Source organism: Homo sapiens, chromosome 9 (genome assembly GCF_000001405.40).
Source record: "Homo sapiens chromosome 9, GRCh38.p14 Primary Assembly".
In the NCBI taxonomy this organism is placed as follows: Eukaryota; Metazoa; Chordata; class Mammalia; order Primates; family Hominidae; genus Homo; species Homo sapiens.
This window is the reverse complement of record NC_000009.12, coordinates 98,777,386-98,797,406: the sequence shown is the minus strand read 5'-3', so window position 1 is coordinate 98,797,406 and position 20,021 is coordinate 98,777,386. Positions and strand designations below refer to the sequence as shown.

The window sequence follows — 20,021 nt, the reverse complement described above, 5'->3', positions numbered from 1 at the left end:
GGCCATTATCCTAAGCGACCTAAAAAGAACAGAAAACCAAATACTGCATGTTCTCACTTATAAGTGGGAGCTAAACATTGAGTACACATGGACACAAAGATGGGAACAACAAACGCTGGGGATCGCTAGGCCAGGGAGGGATGGAGGGGACTCTGGGCTGAAGAACCTCTTGGTGGGTATTATGCTTACTGCCTGGGTGACGGGATCGTTGGGACCACAAGCTTCAGCGTCGCGCAATTTACCCATGTAACAATTTACCCATGTAACAAACCTGTACCCTTTAATCTATAATAATAGTTGAAATAAAAGGTGGGGGAGAGAGAGAGAACAGGAGGCGCTTTTAGCCCCAGCAGCCTGGCCCAGATGAAGGAGCGACATTAAGGGCACCGCAGGACACTGTGAGGAAACAATCCGTTCGTTCCTTAATTCAGCCGCTTCCTTATTCTAGAAGGGCAGGTTCAGTGCCAGGGGCTGCGGTGGGGTCAGCGGAGCCCGCTAGTAAAGTCAAGGCCCACGCAGCTGCGGACTCAGACCCGGGCCCAGGGCCCTGACCACAGCGTGAAGAGGGGATGGCGTGGCCGCTCCCACCTCTGCCCTGACAGGAAGTTTCTGGAGCCCCGGGACAGGGCGGCGAGAGGGCGCCGAAGAGGCAAAAGGGAACACGCGGGTCTGCGGCGGGCGCTCCTCTGAGCGTCCCTGGACTCCCGAATACGGGCACTGGAGGTGCGCAGCCCCGGCCCTAGCGCGCTCCCGGCACACAGCAGGCGCGCGGCCCTAGCCCCGGCGCGCTCCCGGCACACAGTAGGCGCGCGGCGCGGGCGGGTGGCCGGAAGGGGGCGCCTGCGGGCGGTATCCGGGGGCGGAGCCGACGCGGCCGGCGGGGCGGACGGGAGCGGGCCGCGCGTGGCGGCGGCGATGGGCGAGGGCGGGCTGCCCCCGGCCTTCCAGCTGCTGCTGCGCGCGTGTGACCAGGGCGACACGGAGACGGCGCGGCGGCTGCTGGAGCCGGGGGCGGCGGAGCCAGCCGAGCGCGGCGCGGAGCCGGAGGCGGGCGCGGAGCCGGCGGGGGCCGAGGTGGCCGGGCCCGGGGCCGCAGCGGCGGGGGCAGTCGGGGCTCCGGTGCCCGTGGATTGCTCGGACGAGGCGGGCAACACCGCACTGCAGTTCGCCGCGGCCGGGGGCCACGAACCGCTGGTGCGCTTCCTGCTGCGCCGCGGTGCCTCGGTCAACAGCCGCAACCACTACGGCTGGAGCGCGCTCATGCAGGCGGCCAGGTGAGGCGGCGGGGCCCGGGGGCCCGGGACCAGAGTGGTGCCCGGCGCTGGCCCGAGACGCGGTCCCCGGCGGCCGGATGCCCCGGGAGGTGAAGAGTTAAGGACTCCTTAGAGTTGGAATGGTAAACTTTGAGTAGTCTTTTGTAAACTTTGAGCATAGACGTGGAAACACTTTTGAATTAACATAAAATCAGATTCTTAGAAATTTTGGCCTTTCAGAATAGAATCTGGAGACAGCGAATAGAATTGTAGAGACTTAGAACCTTAGAGATTTAATTCATTTCTTATTGCAGTAAGAGTTTCCTCAGAACCTGCCTTCCCTTCCTGGCTTGGCGTTGAGGGTGCTGCGAGACCCAGGCAGAGTCCCCACCCAGGGCATTGGTGGGCAGGCCAGGCAAAGGAACGAGCTTGACCGGAAAGGTTTGAGTAGCTGTGGGGCAGGTGACCCATTTTGGAGACGTGGGGGAAGGTTTCTGGTAGAAAAGATGTTTATATCCACGTGGAGACCTGCGGATACCTGAGAATTAGCCAGGACATTACAAGTGGGCTGTGGGAAGGCATGATGGGAGGCCCATGCAAAGGCTTGGGTGCACGAGCTGGTAGGACTGGTAGAATGAGGTATGCGTAGAATGTATGAGTAGAATGATGTACTAGTCCTCCCTGGAGAGAAGGCAGATGCCAGGGAGTTGGGGGAGTGTGGGAGCTGAGAAACGCTAGCTATCCTAGGGTGCTAGGGAGTCATGGAAGGTGCTAGGGAGTCATGGAAGGTTCTAGGCAGAATGAGTGACAGGATGAGAGTTACGTTTTGGAAAAATTACTTTCCTTGAAGTGTGAGAATAGATTAGATACTCTAGGGTAAGCTAGAGTCAAAAAGGCTGGTTAGGTAGAGTTTGCTGCAGTCTGAGTGAGAGGTGATGGTGGCCTAGACCAGAATGGAGACAGCGGAGGGAGGGCACCCAGATGAATTTGTGATATATTCAGGGAGTAGATCAGCAGGAGTTGACGACTGGCCCTTGGGGAGGGGTTAAGAGAGACAGCAAGGATGGCATCTAGAGATCTGGCTTCTGTGAAGCCTGCCATGATATCTCCCTGTTCTCTGGTCCCTCCGCAGCAGAAAGGCCTCTGTGGTAGCATCCATCACACCATGTTAATGCTGACTGGCTTCCTCAGTACCCAAACCTGGCCACACATCAGAATCACCAGGATGCTTGTCTAAGTGCAGATTCCTGAGTTCCTTTTCTGGAGATTGTGATTTAGAAGGCCCAGGGCAGTGAGGGGAGTAAGAGACAGGGACTCTGTGTGAGAAGAGGCTCCCCAGTGATTCTCTTGTATGGTAGGTTTGGGAGCCACTGATGTGTTATGTGTGTCTCATCTCTGCAATCCACCAAGTGCGTGCACAGGGGCCCTGGTGAGCCCCCTGAGGAATTTACTGAGTGAGGTTTGTGACTACAGCACTGACATGCCTCAGAGTGTCTCAGAGACCCCAGATCATCAGTTTTAACCAAGTTCTGCAGGATAGTCTTGAGCCTGGGTATTTTAAAATGTGCTGTTCCTCAGTTGGTGTGACACCGACTCTATATTCAGGTAGCATCTCTGCCTGTGTTGAGTTGTGCTCCAGCTTTCTGCTGCGTAATTCATAAGAAAAGGTCAAGTTGAGGAGTAGTATATATGGAAGACTTCCAGAAGGATGTACAGTGTGTCTGTCCCTCACATCGGGGTAGGCAAATGAATGGCCTGTGTGCTGACACCTTCCAGCCTTGTGCTCTTCTTCCTTGGATCTGGATACGCCCCCAGAATCCTGCTCAAAACCACACCCCTGGCAGCCACCACGCTGGGTCTGAGCAAGCATCTATTTATCGTCCCAGCTCTCTGTGTGGATCAGGCCAGACTATTAGACACCCTGTGCCTTTGGTCTTTTGTGGGTGTTTTAGTATTAGAAATGGTGACCTTAGTGTTTTTTCCTGTTCTTTTTTTTTTTTTTTTTGAGACGGAGTCTCGCTCTGTCACCAGGCTGGAGTGCAGTGGCGTGATCTCGACTCACTGCAACCTCCGCCTCCTGGGTTCAAGCGATTCTCCTGTCTCAGCCTCCGGAGTAGCTGGGATTACAGTCACGTGCCACCACGCCCAGCTACTTTTTGTATTTTTAGTAGAGACCGGGTTTCACTGTGTTGGCCAGGCTGGTCTCAATCTCCTGATTTCGTGAAACGCCCACCTCGGCCTCCCAAAGTGCTGCGATTACAGGCGTGAGCCACCGCGCTGGGGCATGTTTTTTCATGTTCTTAAAATAATAGGTAACCTTTGGCCAGGTGCGGTGGCTCACGCCTGTAATCCCAGCACTTTGGGAGGCCGAGGCGGGCAGATCAGGAGGTCAGGAGATCGAGACCAGCCTGGCCAACATAGTGAAACCCTGTCTCTACTAAAAATACAAAAATTAGCTGGGCGTGGTGGCACGGGCATGGTGGCACGCACCTGTAGTCCCAGCTACTCGGGAGGCTGAGGCAGGAGAATCGCTTGAACCTGGGAGGCGGAGGTTGCAGTAAGCTGAGATCGCGCCACTGCACTCCAGCCTGGCGACAGAGCGAGACTCCATCTCAAAAAACCAGAACAAAACAAAACAAAAAACAACCTTTATTGAGCACTGACTTTCTGTCAAGCACTGTGCTAAGTGCTTTAAATGAATTAAGTCATTCAATCCATACAAAACCTTAGGAAGGAGGTACTATTGTCATCCTCATTTCATAAATGAGGAATTGAGGAACAGAGAAGTTAAATAACTTGCTCAAGTAACATAGCTACCAAGTGGCGAGTCAGATTCACACCTAGGGAGGTGGCTCCAGAGCCTGTGCTCCCAGCCATGAATCCTGTAACTGATAGTTTCCCTCTTGGTGTTGGTGCCTGGAAGCGGCTTGCCAAATTTGCCAGAGACTTCTCTCCAAGGGACAGGGTTGCATAGTGTTTACCTTCCTTCCCTACCCTTCATTTCCTGCCTGCCAGTGGGGCAGAGCTGGACTCTCAGCCCAGTGCTTTGAGAGGGGAAAATGTGTGCCAGCTCTTTAAACACAGGTGTTAATTGCTGAAATTCATCAGTAATCACAGCACCTGTTCAGAAAGCCCCTAGCATGCCCATCTCCGGCAGTTACCTATTAGAAACTTAGCATCCACAACATTATCTCAGCCTTGCTTGGATCCTTTTATATTTTCAGCATAGTTGAGTGCTCTCTTGGGCTACTCACTAATTCAGAAAACATTCCAAATTTCACTATTTCTGCTCTAATTCACCCCTTTTCTTCCTCCTTAAAAATTGGTTATACTGGAGCTTCGATTTTGAGTCCAGGTGCAACTTTTGACTCTATCACGTTCAAATTGAGAGGCTTTAGATTAATTGCTTTCCACTGTAATCTTCAGTTTCCTAATCTGTGAGTTTATCTCGGGGTTTATTAAGATCAAATGAGATAAAAATGTGACGCACCTTGTAATCTGCTGTTAGGGATTATGCTAGATTTTATCTCATGCTTGATAACTAAATAGTGTAATCTTTTAGAAATGTACTACAGTGGAGGATACACCAGTTCTTCAGGGATTTCCACTGCTCACCTCTGGACCTTCCCCTATGTGGTTATGCCATTTATGCATTCATTTACTTGGCTTGTTTGACCAAATTTACTGAGCTCCGATGTGGATCAGCCACTATGGTAGGGGCTGGGGAAACAATATGCGTGGAACCCTGTCCTGTCCTTGGAGAGCCTGCCACTGAATAGGAGAGACAATTAGGGAAAGAGGGCTCACGTGCAGCCAGAGGCGAGCCCGTGGAATTAGGTGCTCAGAAGAGGGGCACTGACCTAGCCTGGTTGAGGGGTGGTCTGGAAGCTGCTCAGAGTGGGTGAGATATGACTCCTGAAGCAGGACACGGTGGGGGTGTGCTGAGTAGATGAGGACAGGAGAGTCCTCTGGTGGGGTCAGGATGGTGAAGGTGTGGGGAAGGCGGGAAGGTGTGGTTTGGGAGCAGGAGGAAGTGAGGTTGGCAAAGCAGTCAGGTCTTCGGCAATCAGAAGCTGGGGAGTGACAGATTTGGGTTTGGAGAATATCATTTGGGAGTCGCATGGAGGATGGGCAGGAGGGAACGAGACTGGAGGCGGGGAGACATTGGGGTGCAGCTTTCTGCATTGAGTTGGTTTCAATTTGCCTTGTCCTTTTCCACTCTGGGAGTGGAGGTCAAGAGGCCCAGCCCCCTGCAGCTGATGGAGCTGTGTCACCAGGCTCTTGCTTCGTGGCTGAGTAGCCCCATGCTGTTCAGGTTCACATCCCAGAAGGTATTCAGCCGGAGCCTCAGACAGAGTTCAGCCCTGGCCTGGCCGCCAGCCGCCAGGAGGAGGGAGGTCTTGGGTTTAGATGAGGTGCAAAACTGGCTCCCGGGAAGGAGGGCTGAGCATCGAGAAACCCAGAAAGCTGCCTCACAGATGCAGACATGACAGTGGCTTTGTGGTCTCGAAAACCTGGAGTAGACAGCCCCTGTCTTGTCATTGTTTTCTTGTTAGTCCAGGGCCGCTTCCAGCTTGGAGATACACAGCTCCGAGCCCACCAGAGACACCACAAAACAGAACTTTTCTGCCCTCTGGTGTTAAAAGAAGGAAGAGATTTTGCTGGGAAGAGGTACCTGTTTTCCTTCTCCTGGTACTAGGAAGTTGGTGGGTGCAGATCTTTCTCTTCAGGGGCCCAGCAGTGACTTCATTGAGGAAGATCTGGCCTAGGCTGGGTCCTCAGCCGCCTGCAACAAACATTCCTGCCAGCAGGTGGCAGCAGGCCTCCAGGCCGCAATGCCCAGCCTATCTGCTGACCACAACCTTGCCACACCTCTTGGCATGGGGTGTGTGCTTTTGGGGATGGGGAGGGTAGAAATGAATCAGACATGGGCTCTGCCTGTGGGGAAATTAGAGCACAGGCAGAGAGACAGATTCCCAGGCTATAAAGCAGAATAAAATCGACTGTCTGAAATGTAGGAGGCAGCATGGTGTAAGAGAAAAAGCAAGGGCAGCGGCATTCACACAGACCTGTCCTGACCCTGATGCCACCCCTTACCAGCCGGGTAACCCTTGGCACGTTGAATAACGTAACATGAACAATTATAATACCTAACAATCGCTAACATTGATGTGATGTTTCCTGTGGCCAGGCACAGAGCCAGGTGCTTTACATGTAACTCATTTAATCCCCAACAACCCTTGAAGTAGGTACAGTTATATCCCCATTTTGCAGATCAGGAAATGAAGGCACAAAGAAATCAAAGTTCTTCCTAAAGGTCATGCAGCTGGTGGTGGGGAGAGCTGGATTTGAACCCAGGCAGGGCAGCTGCTCACCTTCATGATGATGCATCTGCATCCATGTGGCTGGCACAGTGCCTGGCGCCAGAATAAGACCTCTTATCATGAGCAGCTGTCAGGACTAATAATTCATGCCAATTAAGGATGACATAAGCTGGCCCCCGAGTGCTGTGTGTTCAGTGTCACTAATTCTCCATCTTCCTGGCAGATTTGGGCATGTGAGTGTGGCACACCTCCTGTTGGATCACGGGGCTGATGTCAATGCCCAGAACCGGCTGGGGGCCAGTGTGCTCACTGTGGCTTCTCGGGGCGGCCACCTGGGTGTGGTGAAGCTGCTCCTGGAAGCCGGTGCCTTTGTGGACCATCACCACCCTTCAGGCGAGCAACTGGGGTTGGGCGGCAGCAGGGATGAGCCCTTGGACATCACAGCCCTGATGGCTGCCATCCAGCACGGGCACGAGGCCGTGGTGCGTCTACTGATGGAGTGGGGCGCGGACCCCAACCACGCAGCCCGGACCGTGGGCTGGAGCCCGCTGATGCTGGCCGCACTCACTGGGCGGCTTGGAGTGGCCCAGCAGCTGGTGGAGAAGGGCGCCAACCCTGACCACCTCAGCGTGCTGGAGAAGACCGCCTTCGAGGTTGCACTGGACTGCAAGCACAGGGACCTTGTAGACTACCTGGACCCGCTGACCACCGTCAGGCCCAAAACAGGTCAGGCTGCATGCCCCCCGTGGCTTCACAGAGGACCCCAAATTGTGTTTATGTGGCTTAAGCTGAGGATTGCTCTACTGGAAGGACACGCAGAACTCAGAGTCCAGCCCTGCAGACCACTGAGACTGAGGAAGTGGTGTGCTTAAGTATCGGGGGGATTGCCTGTGACATGCAGGTTCTGGGCCCACTCTCTGCAGAGTGATTTGGTAGCCCTGGGCAAGAGCCTGGAAGCCTCTATAACAAGGCTGCTCTCCCCAAGCACATCATTCTGATGCAGGTGGTTCTGGGGCCCTTCTACAACAAGGTTTGGCAAACTTTTTCTGTAAAAGGCCAAATAGACTGTATGGACCATACAGTCTCTGTTAAAACTACAGTAGTCACTTCTGCTAGAGTGAAAGCAGCCTTACATATGTAATGAGTAAATGAATGGGTGTGGCTATGCATATAATATGTAAATGAGTCAGGTATGGCTAGGTTCCAATAAATTATAACTACAAAAACAAGCAGTGGGATATATTTGAGCCATGGGCTATAGTTTGCCAGCCCTTGTTCTACAATAGTGTGCCTGACCTCCTCTGCCCTGATCATTTCTCAAACACTAGTTCATGTAAAATTGATGAAAATTAGTTTTTTAAAAAACATCTAGCAGTGCATCTTTTTTTTTTTTTTTTTTTTAACTTCTTGCCATCTCTCTGGCATGTAAAGAGTTGTCTAAACAATCCTTAGCAAATCTGCCATAGGACATACCACGTTTCAAAACCTTTAATGCACGGTTTGCAATAAGATCGCAACACACAGCCTTGGTACCCTCTGTCTATGTAAAAGGCCTGACTTCGACGGCAGGACTCACAGCCAGGGAGTAACAGTAGGTGGGCTGCAGTGTATATAAACATCTAGCTCTGAGAGGTCAAGCACTGAAGAAAGTAGCTTCAGGCACATTGGCTAAAAAGACCTGAAAGTGTTAAGTTTGTTACCATTGAAAGAATATAGAATAGCCCCATCAATCAAGAGATGCTGAAAATTTGGTAAATGCTTATTAGAAATACACTCTCCAAAAAAAAAAAAAAAGAAATACACCATCCAATCAGAACAAGTCTGAAATAAACATGTTTTAAAAGCCTGTAATGACAGAGAGGTGGCAAAAATGAAGAGGATGCTCAAATGAAAAGGAAAAAGAAGTTTAGGAAGAACTACCTGAAGCCAAGAGACCTCTTACTTTGTCCAGGTGGGAAACTGAGGCCCAGAGAGGGAAGAAAGCTGGTCAAAGGTCACACACCCATTGGAAGCTGAGTGAGTGACACTCAGGAGGTGAGGATTCCATGGGAAGAGCACCTAGAGGTGATTCTCCCACCTGCAGCTCCTGCATGGGCTCTAGAAGCTGGTTTAACACATGACTCTTCTGAGCCTTTGCCTCATCTGTGAAATGGACACAATGACAACTACTACGGGGTGGTGGTGAGCAGAAGGCAGGTTATCCTCTGGCGTGTGAGATACTCAGCCCAGTAGAGTGTTAGGGACTCATAAAGGCTTGCTATTAGAAATTAGGGCCCCAGTCTCCTAGGACAGGGTTTTGTTTTGTTTTTGTTTTTGACACAAGGCCATTGCTCTCCTTTAAAGGTTTGGGTTGTTTGTGGCAGGGATGGGGAAAGGATCTGCCCTTCCCAGGCCCTGCCGTGCCCAGCACACCTGCCATGCTGAATCTCCCCTCACCCTCGCAGGGACCCTCTGAGGAGGGTATTCCCCCATTTTGCAGGGGAGGGAATTCAGGCTCAGAAGTGAACACTCCAGAACTTGCACCTGCCCGTGCCTGCCGAGCTGTGCCTCTTCTGTTGTGCATGCGTTCTCCATCCCAGGTTTCCTTAGCCTCTGCATCTTGAATCTTCACGGAGTGCCCTCGGGCTTAGCTTCTGACAGGCCTCATTTTAGGGGTTGTCCTGGCATCATGGGATGGCGATGCCCTCATTTCCCCAAGATGCAGTGGCTCAGACACATTGGTGGATGTGGCCAAGGTCACTGTCCACTTGGTTCGATGCTGGCTGTGCCCCTGCTGGCCAAGGGACCTTGAACCAGCTGCCTCAGTTCACCAAGCTCCCATTTCCTTCTCCACAAATGGGTGCTGGAGTGATACCCGCCTCAGGGCTGCTGTGGGGTTCATGTGAGATCCTGCCTGGCCCAGAGGGAGCACATGGGAAGTGGATTACTCCATAGTGTTGTCGGCGTTATTTGACAGGAGCGAACCTCGGGTCTTCCAGCAGGATCTGGTCATGTTCCCATTGAGCAGAACTAGTCTGAGGCTCAGTTCTCCCACTCTGTACCTGGGTGGTCTTGGTCATCTTAATTGGCCCTGCAGGACTACAGTGTCTTTTTTCATAAGATAGTCATAATAAAGGCTCTTTTCTTGGGAGATTTTTGTGAGGAATAGTAAGATCAGGCCTGTAAAATTTTCATCGCAGTGCCCTGGCACATAGACGACATCCAATAAATGGAAACTATTATGTTTTGATTGATGATACATTCATTCCGATACTTTACAAAGACGTACTGAGGCCTGCTATGTATCAGGCACCTTTCTAGGCACTTTGGATACATCAGTGAACAAATGAGATCCAAATCCCTGACCTTGAGGACCTTGGCCTTGATAAGGGGAGACAGGCAGTCAGTAGGAAATAAGCATATTAAATATATAGTAGGATAGGTGGTAAGTGCCACAGGGTTAAAAAAAAAAAAAAAAGGGCAGTGTAAAGAGGTTGGGTGTGGCAAAGCTGGGACAATTCATCCTGCTGTGTCAAATGGAGTGGTTGGGCAACCTTGAGAAGGTGGGACTGCAGCAGACATGCAGGACCTGAGGGAGTGTGTTGGCCCTGGGGGATCCCTGGGAAGAGCCCCAGGTAGGGTGCAGGCTGTGCTATTGATAATGACAGATTATGAAATAAATAATAGGAGCCCCAGCTCTTACTGTGCAGTTCCCGGAAATCCAGCCCCCACCAAGGCCTTGGAGGTCCCCTGGTCTCTGCCTTTCATTAGCAGCAGGACAGGGTACTTTTGATGCTGTAACTGTCATTGCGACACCTCTGACTCCCCACTGAGGTTGTGGTGTGGAGTTGGAGCTGATTTCTTTTCCTTGGGTTGGGGCAGGGTCCCTGGGACTGCTTGGATATAGACGAAAAAAACTGAAGCCCAAAGCGAGGAAGGGACCTGCCCAGAGTCACTGGGTGTCAGGACACAGCTGCCCCTGCCTCTTGGGGCCAGGCTCTGCTGTCAGTGATTAACTTGTGTCAGATGGTTGCTTAGCAGCCAACACTAAGACCAGGTGACACTCTTTTCTGTGAAAAGGTCTTGGCATGAGAAGACCCCACCCCACAGCAAAGTTGGTTCTTGAATACTTGAAAGAACATGACATATTTTTTTTAAAAGTCAGGTGCAGAATAGTTTCTTGATAGTATTTCACAGGCAAAATTGATATACTGTGTCCCATGGCAGTGTCCGTACTTTCCATGAAGAATTCTGGGATTCTGGCCAGGTGTGGTGGCTCACGCCTGTAATCCCAGCACTTTGGGAGGCGGAGGTGGGTGAATCACGAGGTCAGGAGTTCGAGACCAACCTGGCCAAGATGGTGAAACCCCATCTCTACTAAAAATACAAAAATTAGCCAGATGCGGTGGTGGGTGCCTGTAATCCCAGCTGTTCTGGAAGCAGAGGCAGGAGAATCGCTTGAACCCGGGAGGCAGAGGTTGCAGTGAGCCTAGATCTCACCACTGCCCTCTAGCCTGGGAGACACAGCAAGACTCCATCTCAAAAAAAAAAAAAAAACAATTCTGGAGTTCCGGCCTGGAGCGGTGGCTCACACCTGCAATCTCAGCAGTTTGGGAGGCCAAGGCGAGCAGATCACTTGAGGTCAGGAGTTTGAGACCAGCCTGGCCAACATGGCAAAACCCCGTCTCTACTAAAAATACAAAAATTAGCTGGGTGTAGTGGCGTGTGCCTGTCATCCCAGCTACTCGGGAGGCTGAGGCACAAGAGTCACTTGAACCCAGGAGGCAGAGGTTGCAGTGAGCCAAGATCACGCCACTGCACTCCAGCCTGGGTGACAGAGCGAGACTCCATCTCAAAAAAAGAATTCTGGGGTTTACCTTGCTGGTTGCTAAAGAAAGTAATTGCTCTTTGAATGGCGCCTTAACATTATCATTTGATCCCTGCAACAGCCAGGTGAGAGGGATGCTATCCCCACATTTGTGATGAAGAGGCAGCTTACTCTAAAAATGTGCGCTGAAATTCACGTGCACTGACTCCACACTCTGTGCTCCTTGTCCTGGGCTGCAGCTTCCTCCCAGTTACTCAAGAGGGCTCATTTCGACCAGAGTCAGCCCAGAGTCACAAGTGCCCTCTGGCAGCTGCTCCATCCCCTGGGATCAATTAAAGGCTGCAGAAGGCCTGCCTTCAGCCCCCCAGCAAGCAGACTGGCCATGAGGATGCCTGCTCTGACAGGAATGGGGTACCTGCTGGCCCAAGCTTGGAGGAAGGTGTGGGATGAGCATGTGAGGGAGGGGCTAACATCTGGCGGCTGCAGCAAGGCTCAGCTGTGCAGGTAGGCATGGGGTCCGGCCCCAGCCTAGCAGCTGGGCTTCAGGGTACAGCATGAAGATGCCCAGTTGGGCAGCGGCTTTTGGCCAGCTGTGTCTGCAGGTTTGGAGGAGGGAGCATGTTCTGATTGCTTCTTACATGGGAGGGAAAGAAAATATGAGCATTGGCTCTTCTGTTGGCTGTGGCTGTGAACTTCCTTAGAGCTCAGCTGCTCGATATCTCAGGGGTCCTCTGATTTGGAATTATGATTGTACATTTAGTTTTTAGAAGAAAAAAAATTTTTAAACAATGTCCATGGGAATCCAGGATTTTCTAAGACCCCAAGACTTTTCAGTATATCTAAGAAAGGATATGCCAACGTTTGTTTTGCCTAAAAATGATTGCTTTATTTGCATGAGATCAGGGCCGTGATCTGCTGCTCATTCGTGTTTTGTTGGCAAGATCTGTCTCTGAAGTGTTTTCAGATGTTCTTGGGTAATAAACCTTCCAGAAGAGCTGCTGGATTTGTCCATTACGTAGGTCTCCAATTAGATTGCTTTTGAGAATTAGATGCTTTTTAAAGCCAGGCTGTGTTGTTACACCCTTGTGACTTTTCTGTTATATTAAACCTTTCCGTGGTTAACTTTAAAAATCTTTGTTTACCCAGATGAGGAGAAAAGGCGACCTGATATTTTCCATGCATTGAAAATGGGTAAGCGCTTTAGAAAATCTTTTTGGATATTTAAGAATATAGGGCTACATTCTCCCAACCTAATATTTGTAGTCCTTTGCAGGGCCACCCAGGGTATTTGAGAAAGAAACAGGCATTTTGGTGTTTGGTGTTTGGAAGTTCAGATCCTGGAGGCCAGTATTTATTGTAGAGCTCTACACATAGACTCCAGACGGCCTCCAGCCCCACTCCAGCCAAACACTGTCTAGCTATGCCCTAGCTCTTCCTGCATCTGAAATGCCTCTCTGCATACCCACTCCAGTCTCTTTGTGACAAAGAGGCATTTAGCCTAAAATTTTCTCTCTTGATATAGACCCTGCTTCCAGGAAGCCCTTCCCGATCCTCACCCCGCAGCGAGACCTGAACTCTCCTTCTGTCTTCTTCTGTCTCCTTCATCCGTTCTCTGAAGACACTAACAACACTTCTGTCTTTTGGTAACACTTCTGCCCATTCGTGTGTTTGTCTCTGTCTCGCCTAGACTGAGGCATTTAAGAGTCGGGGCTATCTCTGACGCCCTCTTAGTATCCCCTATGATGCCCAGCAGCCCACTGCAGAGGCAGAGCAGGGCCAGCAAGTGTTTGTTACATGAACCACAGGAGAAATCAGCCTATGGTACCAGGCCCACAGTTCACCCGGACTCCTGCTTGTGTTTGCAGGAAACTTCCAGCTGGTCAAAGAGATTGCCGATGAAGACCCCAGCCACGTGAACTTGGTCAATGGGGACGGGGCGACGCCACTGATGCTAGCAGCTGTTACGGGGCAGCTGGCTCTGGTGCAGCTGCTGGTGGAGAGGCACGCGGATGTTGACAAGCAGGACAGCGTGCATGGCTGGACGGCCCTCATGCAGGCAACCTACCATGGGTCAGTGCCAGCCCCACGCCCTCAGCGACAAGGCCAGACAGATGCTCTGGCCTGAGATGGAGGTTCCCAATGGGCTCTTCTGGTCCTGAGATGCTGCATACAAACCCCAGGACTATGACGACATTGAGGCATGGAAAAAAAAAAAAAAAGCGGCACAGGCTCATTTTAGTCCCACCCTTCTGTGTCCAGATTTCCTGTTCCCCCATCACAGAATTTCACAATGGCCCTGAAAAACCATGCAGCAGGAGCATTTTATGCAGAGAGATAAGGTTCTCTAGGTTGGTTTCAGTTGAACACAGTGACTGATTCATTGGAGTTTTCACATTGAGATATAGTGACCTCCTTAAGTAGCTCCTGTATGAAGTAAACATTGGTTATTCATACCATTGTCGTCTTGTGATGATTGATGGTGAGATGTGTCCTACCCCTCTCCTTTTGAATAGGCTTCAGTGTTTACAGGGTGCTTATGAACCCCTTCTTATGTGATCATCCCAGCAGGATGGGCTGTCATCCTCCTGGAGGCCTCGTCTTTGGGGTGGGCATCTTGTAGCTGCTAAGTGATCTGACTCCCAGTTAGAGGTTCTTTCCTTGCCCTCTTTTAGGTGATCAGATCACTTTCCTGTGTCATCTGAAAACAGTTTGTTTTCTTATTCGATGAGTCTTGAATTCCAAGACGAAATTTTATTTCAGACACCTTGGTCTGTAGGAGACTTTCCCAATGGAGATGTCCTGATTTAGGGTGGAAGAAGTGGAGTCTCCATGGGGTCAGTGATTTTTGGGCAGAGCTGTTGGTTTTGTCTCCTCTCCCCTCCCCCTCCCCTCCCCTCCCCTTCCTTTTCCTTCCCTTCTCTTTTCTTTTCTTTTCTTTCCAACAGTATCTCACTTTGTTGCCAGACTGGAGTGCAGTAGCGTGATCATGGCTCACTGCTGCCTTGACCTCCCAGACTCAAGCATCCTCCAACCTCAGTCTCTCAAGTAGCTGGAACTACAGACTTGCACCACCACACCTAGCTAATTTTTAAACAAAATTTTTAGTAGAGACAGGGCCCCCCATGTTGCCCAGGCTGGTCTCAAATTCCTGGGCTCAAGTGATCCTCCCACCTTGGCTTCCCAAAGTGATGGGATTACGGGTGTGAGCCACCACATCTAGCCTCAGTCTTCATTTTGTTCCTGGAAGGAACACTTAGACTTTGATTTAAATCATGTTCCCGCTTGACCTGCCCACGTGCTAGGGAATGAGAGAATGTGAGACTGTTTGCCCTTCCATGTCCTTCTTAAATGCTCAGAGACTGAGCTTTGTAGTTAATGTTGGTTTTGTTGCCCAGGAGCAAAGCCATGCCTTTGCTTTCAGTGAATGTAACTCTAGCATTTTTTCCCAGGAATAAGGAAATTGTGAAATATCTGCTAAACCAAGGGGCCGATGTCACTCTTCGTGCAAAAAATGGATACACGGCCTTTGACCTGGTGATGCTGCTGAATGATCCCGGTAGGTAATTTCAAGAAAAGGGTTGTAAATCTACCCAGCGTTTCTTGGACTGGGAGTCAAGACAGGCACCTCCTCTGTGACTTGTGTTTTAAGCACTTGCTTATTCGTGGGGGAAAGTCACTCTCAAGTGTCAGGAGCTTACTGCATGATCTTAGGCAAGTTCCTTCCCTCCCCAGTGAAGCGCTGGACTTGGACCAGGTGGCCCCGGGGACTTCCTCCAGCACCAACCTCCTAGGAGTCTCTAGAGAGGGAAGGAAAATAAGACGTGTCTGACTTTGCAGTCCACACACACCCTAGAATGGCATCTGTGCTTCACAGCCAGAAATCCTGAGTCACTCAGGTGGAAACATAAAGTCCCCTTTGATAAGCAGAATGGGAGATAGAGCGATGGCCTTCTCAGCTTAATTGTGTAGGTAGAGGCTGCAGGGTCAAGGGTCGTGTACTGGGAATGTAGCCGTTAGTTCCACCCCATTTTGGCCTCGGCTGGTACCTGCTACTCCCCTTTGACCCTCCCCTGCTGTGACAGACCCTCTTTTGGGACCTGGGCTTCCAGTTAGCCAGCTCAAGGGGAAAGGTCTCTGATCTGTCGTCTTTCTTATCAACCTGGAGTTTCAACCCAGAGAGAGAGAAGCCCCGAGGCCCTTCTGACCCACTGGGCTTGAACCCTGTGCTGGGATTCTAGCTGTTGGCTGTGGGGAGAGAAGACTTTCACCTCTGCAGTCACAAGTCACCTGCTGCCCCTCTTAGCTAGAGGGGTAGCCAGCAGGCATGCCCTTCCTCGTCACAGCACTGCCACCCTTGCCACCCCTTCCCTGCTGCAGGCCCCTGCACTTCACAGATGCACACTTGGTTCTGTTTGACCCTCAAAGAGGTCTGAGAGGGGAAGCAGAGGTTCACATCCTCTTGAAGAGATGAGGTCGCCAAGACTCGGGAAGTGATCTGTCCCAGCCAGAGGGTTGGAGTCCTGTGCCCCAAGTCCAGTGATCCTACTCCACCTCATTGGAGACCTTCTTCACTTGCCAAGAGTTTGTTATTCGGAATCAGTCCGCAGCCACTCTCGCTGGATCTCATACACACTTTTTCTGAGAAACTCATCTTTTCAGTGTTCCTCTTCTCCCTAGCCTCCACTGCCGTTTATTCCCTTTCCCAATAAAACAGTCTATTCCTAGGAATATTTTGCCTACTGGGTTTTTAAATGAAGTGTTTACACAAAACTTTTGAAGAAACTCATGCCTATTATTGAATACTTGGAGAGAAAAAAGAAATAACCTGGCGTGGATGGCTCACGCCCATAATCCCAGCACTTTGGGAGGCTGAGGTGGGTCGATCACTTGAGGCCAGGGGTTCGAGACCAGCCTGGCCAACATGACGAAACCCCATCTCTACTAAAAATACAAAAATTAGCCAGGCATGATGGCGGGCACTGTAGCCCCAGCTACATGGGAGGCTGAGGCAAAGAACCGCTTGAACCTAGGAGGTGGAGGTTGCGGTGAGCCAAGATTGTGCCACTGCACTCCAGCCTGGGTGACAGAGCAAGACTCTGTCTCCAAAAAAAAAAAAAAAGAAATAGTCATCAAGAAAAAGCATTGTTAATAGTTTGGAGTAGTTTCTTCTCAATCTTTTTTGCAATGCTTTTTTTATATAACTGAGTTGGGTTCCTAATAACTTCATAATACTTAGTATTTTTAAAGCACTTGTATTGCTCTAAAGGAATTCCCGTGAATTGATAAGATACCTTTATGTGGTGGGTATTAATGTCACTGACTTGTACAGACGCACAAAGAGGCTTTGTAATTTACCTGCAGTTACACAGCCAGGGAGGGACAGAAGCAGAATCTGAACCTCTGCAGCCTGGCTGTGAAGCCTGCACTTTTAAACACACTGTCCCCCTGCCTTCCTCATGAGAGAGGACTTCCGGTTTTTCTTTCTGGTTAAGTAGGTTAAGCCCTGCTGGCTTTGTTTGCCACCTTTTGAAGATCAGATGGAGAGGCAGGTGCCTTGATTCTGGAATTACACAGACCCTGGAGCTGCAGGGCTGAGTTCTAAGTCTAACAGGGGTCATCTTGAGTCTTCTCCTTATGGCCCAACAGACATATTTGCAGGTAAAATGATGCCTTTTGTGTCCATAGACACGGAACTTGTTCGACTGCTGGCATCTGTCTGCATGCAGGTGAATAAAGACAAAGGCCGGCCGAGCCACCAGCCTCCCCTGCCCCACTCGAAGGTCCGACAGCCCTGGAGCATCCCAGTGCTGCCCGATGACAAGGGTGGACTGAAGGTTTGCCTTTTCCTGTCTTAAAGGGGCTTGGGGGCTAGGGAGATGGGGGCTGGCGGGGAGCCTGCTGCCTCCTATGCACCCAGGCTGGTTTATGCTAGGGAGTCCCTGCAGGGGTGGCAGGTGAGCTGGCATTGAGCAATAGGAAACAAAGGGGACCAGGAAAAACTGGGGAGACTGTGACCATGTTGTGGCAACAGTGGCTGCTTTGTAAGAATGTGGGTCCACGCGGCCGGGCACGGTGGCTCACGCCTGTAATCCCAGCACTTTGAGAGGCCAAGACGGGCGGATCACGAGGTCAGGAGATTGAGACCATCCTGGCTAACACGGTGAAACCCCGTCTCTACTAAAAATACAAAAATTAGCCGGGCATGGTGGCGCACGCCTGTAGTCCCAGCTACACGGGAGGCTGAGGCAGGAGAATGGCGTGAACCCGGGAGGCGGAGCTTGCAGTGAGTCGAGATCGCGCCACTGCACTCCAGCCTGGGCGACAGAGCGAAACTCCGTCTCAAAAAAAAAGAAAAAAGCTTGAGCCTGGTAGGCTGTGGTTGCAGTGAGCTGAGATCACGTCACTGCACTCCAGCCTGGGCGACAGAACAAGAACTTGTCTCAAAAAGGAATGTGGGTCCATATTACTAGATCTCTCTCTCTTTTTTTTTTAAAGGAAAAAATAGAAATCCAGATTTTGATATGGAATCTTAATTTATAAGTACAGGGAATTTTAGAAAATTCTGCATGATGTAGTACTGAGCTGGCCAAAGCAAACACTTCTCTTCCCAAGGAATCCGTTTGCAGCCTCTGCTTTACTGTGCAGGATATTTGCTGATCATGCCACTCTGGGGTCTCCCTGCAGTCCACAGGCCCTGCCAGCTTCCTGGAAACACCAGAAACAAGCTCTGGTGGCTGCTTGTAACTGCAAGCTGAGACTTTCTCTTTGGATTTCTCATCTTCCACATCCTGCTCTACTTGTTTGAAATCAAACTTACTTTATGCCTGAGAAAACAAAACAACACACTGGTCTTGTCTGCTGACCTCCCCAGTCTGCATGGGGTGGTAGCGCCTTCTGAGGGCTGCAGACTCGGCGCTCCTTTTGTGTCCATTGCTGGCTCAAGCTCTGCATCCTTCCTGACTGTGTTGTTCTCATAGCTCCCTTCATTCCTGCTCTTACTGCCATTTCCACAGGCAGGCCCTCACAGATGCCCTTCGTGGCTGTTCATTAACCTCTGAGTGGTCATGGGTTACAAGCGTTCCCAGGAGGTAGTGCCTGTCCTCTCTAGGTGAGGCTCAGCTATAGGAGCAGCTGGCCCAGGCCCTGGTATAGAGATCCTGATGCCTCTCACGTTATCACCAGAGCAGGAGGAGGGAGATTATGCTATTGTAGACGCTTAGGAATCTGGAGCTGCCTCTGTGTCCATCTGTCCCTGTCTCACTGTAAGACCTCAAGCAAGTCAGCAATCCTGTCTGGGTCTCCATTTCTCAATCTGTGCAATGAGGAGATTGATTAGATGAGGGGTGGCAAATAGGGTTCACTGCCACCTCCAGGCTATTGGAAGTGACTGCCTAAGGGCTGGGTCAGGAAAGATTTAGTGAGTAACCATGGCTTATTGGGAATGGGTGCTATCATTGATCAGTAATGTCTGTCTGGGCCCCAGGAGAGGGGAGGGCAGGCACATGTGAATGTAGTCACTGTCTCTGGGCTGGCAGGTCCTGGGCCTGGTCTCCTTGCCCTTCCTGGAGCATGACTTCTGCTCTGCGTTCCTTTGGCAGTCCTGGTGGAACCGAATGTCCAATCGGTTCCGAAAGCTCAAACTGATGCAGACGCTGCCCCGTGGGCTGTCCAGCAACCAGCCTTTGCCTTTCTCTGACGAGCCTGAGCCAGCTCTGGACTCCACAATGAGGGCTGCCCCCCAGGACAAGACAAGCCGCTCTGCACTCCCTGATGCGGCCCCTGTGACCAAAGACAATGGTGAGAAAAGTCTGCATGTGCAGTAGAATTTTTGGAATGGTCTGAGCCTGTACCCTCTGCCCTTCATCCTACCTCCTGGGTTGCTGTCAGGGGTAAGATGATGTTGGAATGGGACACTGGAGCATAGAGGCTGGTCTGGTGGAAAAGATACTTAGGCAGGGACACAACCACCAAGAGTGTGATAGAATGAGAAGGTGCTGGCCAGTGGCAAGAGGCCCAGGTTCCTGTCCCACACTCCCTGCTGAGGGACGACAGGGAGTCGTCCTCTCTCTTGCCTTTGATAGGTGGTTTTCCCCACCTCTGAAATGTGATTGGTCTATGACACTGAAAGCATCTTGAAATAAAATGAGTTACTGGGAGGGTGTGAGTAGTGAGCTCCCCGTCACTCAAGGTATTCAACAGCTTGGATAACTTTGTCAGTTTGCTGAAGGAGATTCCCATACTGACTGGAACATAGATAAGATCCCTTCTAACAGTCAGATTCCCCATGACCAGATTAGCTACTTTGGCACCACTGTCTGAGACAGACTATTGAGCTGGGGGCACCACTGTCTGACTCAGTACGGCAGTGGTTTATGGAAAAGCTGAAAACATGCTCCAATATACCTTTTAAATGCCTTCCTTCTATTAAAATATCGAATACCAATTATTATTAAATATTTAAGCACCCAGGAGAGTTGGTTTTCCAGGTTGAAGCCTGCCCCAGTCACTCATCCTTATGCTGTGGACACGTGGAGGGGTCATTTCAGGAAATTTCCATTTGTCTCTCAGGTCCTGGGAGCACAAGAGGAGAAAAGGAAGACACGTTATTGACAACCATGGTGAGTGTGGGGCTTTTCT

At 50.8% G+C, this 20,021-nt stretch overlaps 1 protein-coding gene across 1 annotated transcript in view, besides 5 other annotated features; it reads left to right on the top strand.

Moving 5' to 3' along the window:
- Positions 588-1,088: an enhancer, noted in NCBI's record as "H3K27ac hESC enhancer chr9:101558601-101559101 (GRCh37/hg19 assembly coordinates)". NCBI's record gives its function as "activates a minimal SCP1, AML or CMV promoter by ChIP-STARR-seq in naive H9 embryonic stem cells {active_cell/tissue: H9 hESC(naive)}" and the evidence as "EXISTENCE:reporter gene assay evidence [ECO:0000049][PMID:30033119]".
- Positions 588-1,589: a biological region, named in NCBI's record as "H3K27ac hESC enhancers GRCh37_chr9:101558100-101558600 and GRCh37_chr9:101558601-101559101".
- Positions 710-1,329: a silencer, noted in NCBI's record as "silent region_20121". NCBI's record gives its function as "represses an Ori minimal core promoter by ATAC-STARR-seq in GM12878 lymphoblastoid cells {active_cell/tissue: GM12878}" and the evidence as "EXISTENCE:reporter gene assay evidence [ECO:0000049][PMID:35858748]".
- Positions 852-20,021, top strand: part of ANKS6 (ankyrin repeat and sterile alpha motif domain containing 6) — a 64,547-nt gene continuing 45,377 nt past the window's right edge. Inside the window, exons 1-8 of the mRNA NM_173551.5 lie at positions 852-1,274; positions 6,801-7,303; positions 12,531-12,575; positions 13,250-13,454; positions 14,834-14,940; positions 17,070-17,218; positions 18,983-19,181; positions 19,953-20,002. Of these exons, the coding sequence (NP_775822.3) occupies positions 916-1,274; positions 6,801-7,303; positions 12,531-12,575; positions 13,250-13,454; positions 14,834-14,940; positions 17,070-17,218; positions 18,983-19,181; positions 19,953-20,002 (1,617 nt within the window). The 5' untranslated portion in view covers positions 852-915. The remainder of the gene's footprint in view (positions 1,275-6,800; positions 7,304-12,530; positions 12,576-13,249; positions 13,455-14,833; positions 14,941-17,069; positions 17,219-18,982; positions 19,182-19,952; positions 20,003-20,021) is intronic.
- Positions 1,089-1,589: an enhancer, noted in NCBI's record as "H3K27ac hESC enhancer chr9:101558100-101558600 (GRCh37/hg19 assembly coordinates)". NCBI's record gives its function as "activates a minimal SCP1, AML or CMV promoter by ChIP-STARR-seq in naive H9 embryonic stem cells {active_cell/tissue: H9 hESC(naive)}" and the evidence as "EXISTENCE:reporter gene assay evidence [ECO:0000049][PMID:30033119]".
- Positions 5,964-6,013: a silencer, noted in NCBI's record as "silent region_20120". NCBI's record gives its function as "represses an Ori minimal core promoter by ATAC-STARR-seq in GM12878 lymphoblastoid cells {active_cell/tissue: GM12878}" and the evidence as "EXISTENCE:reporter gene assay evidence [ECO:0000049][PMID:35858748]".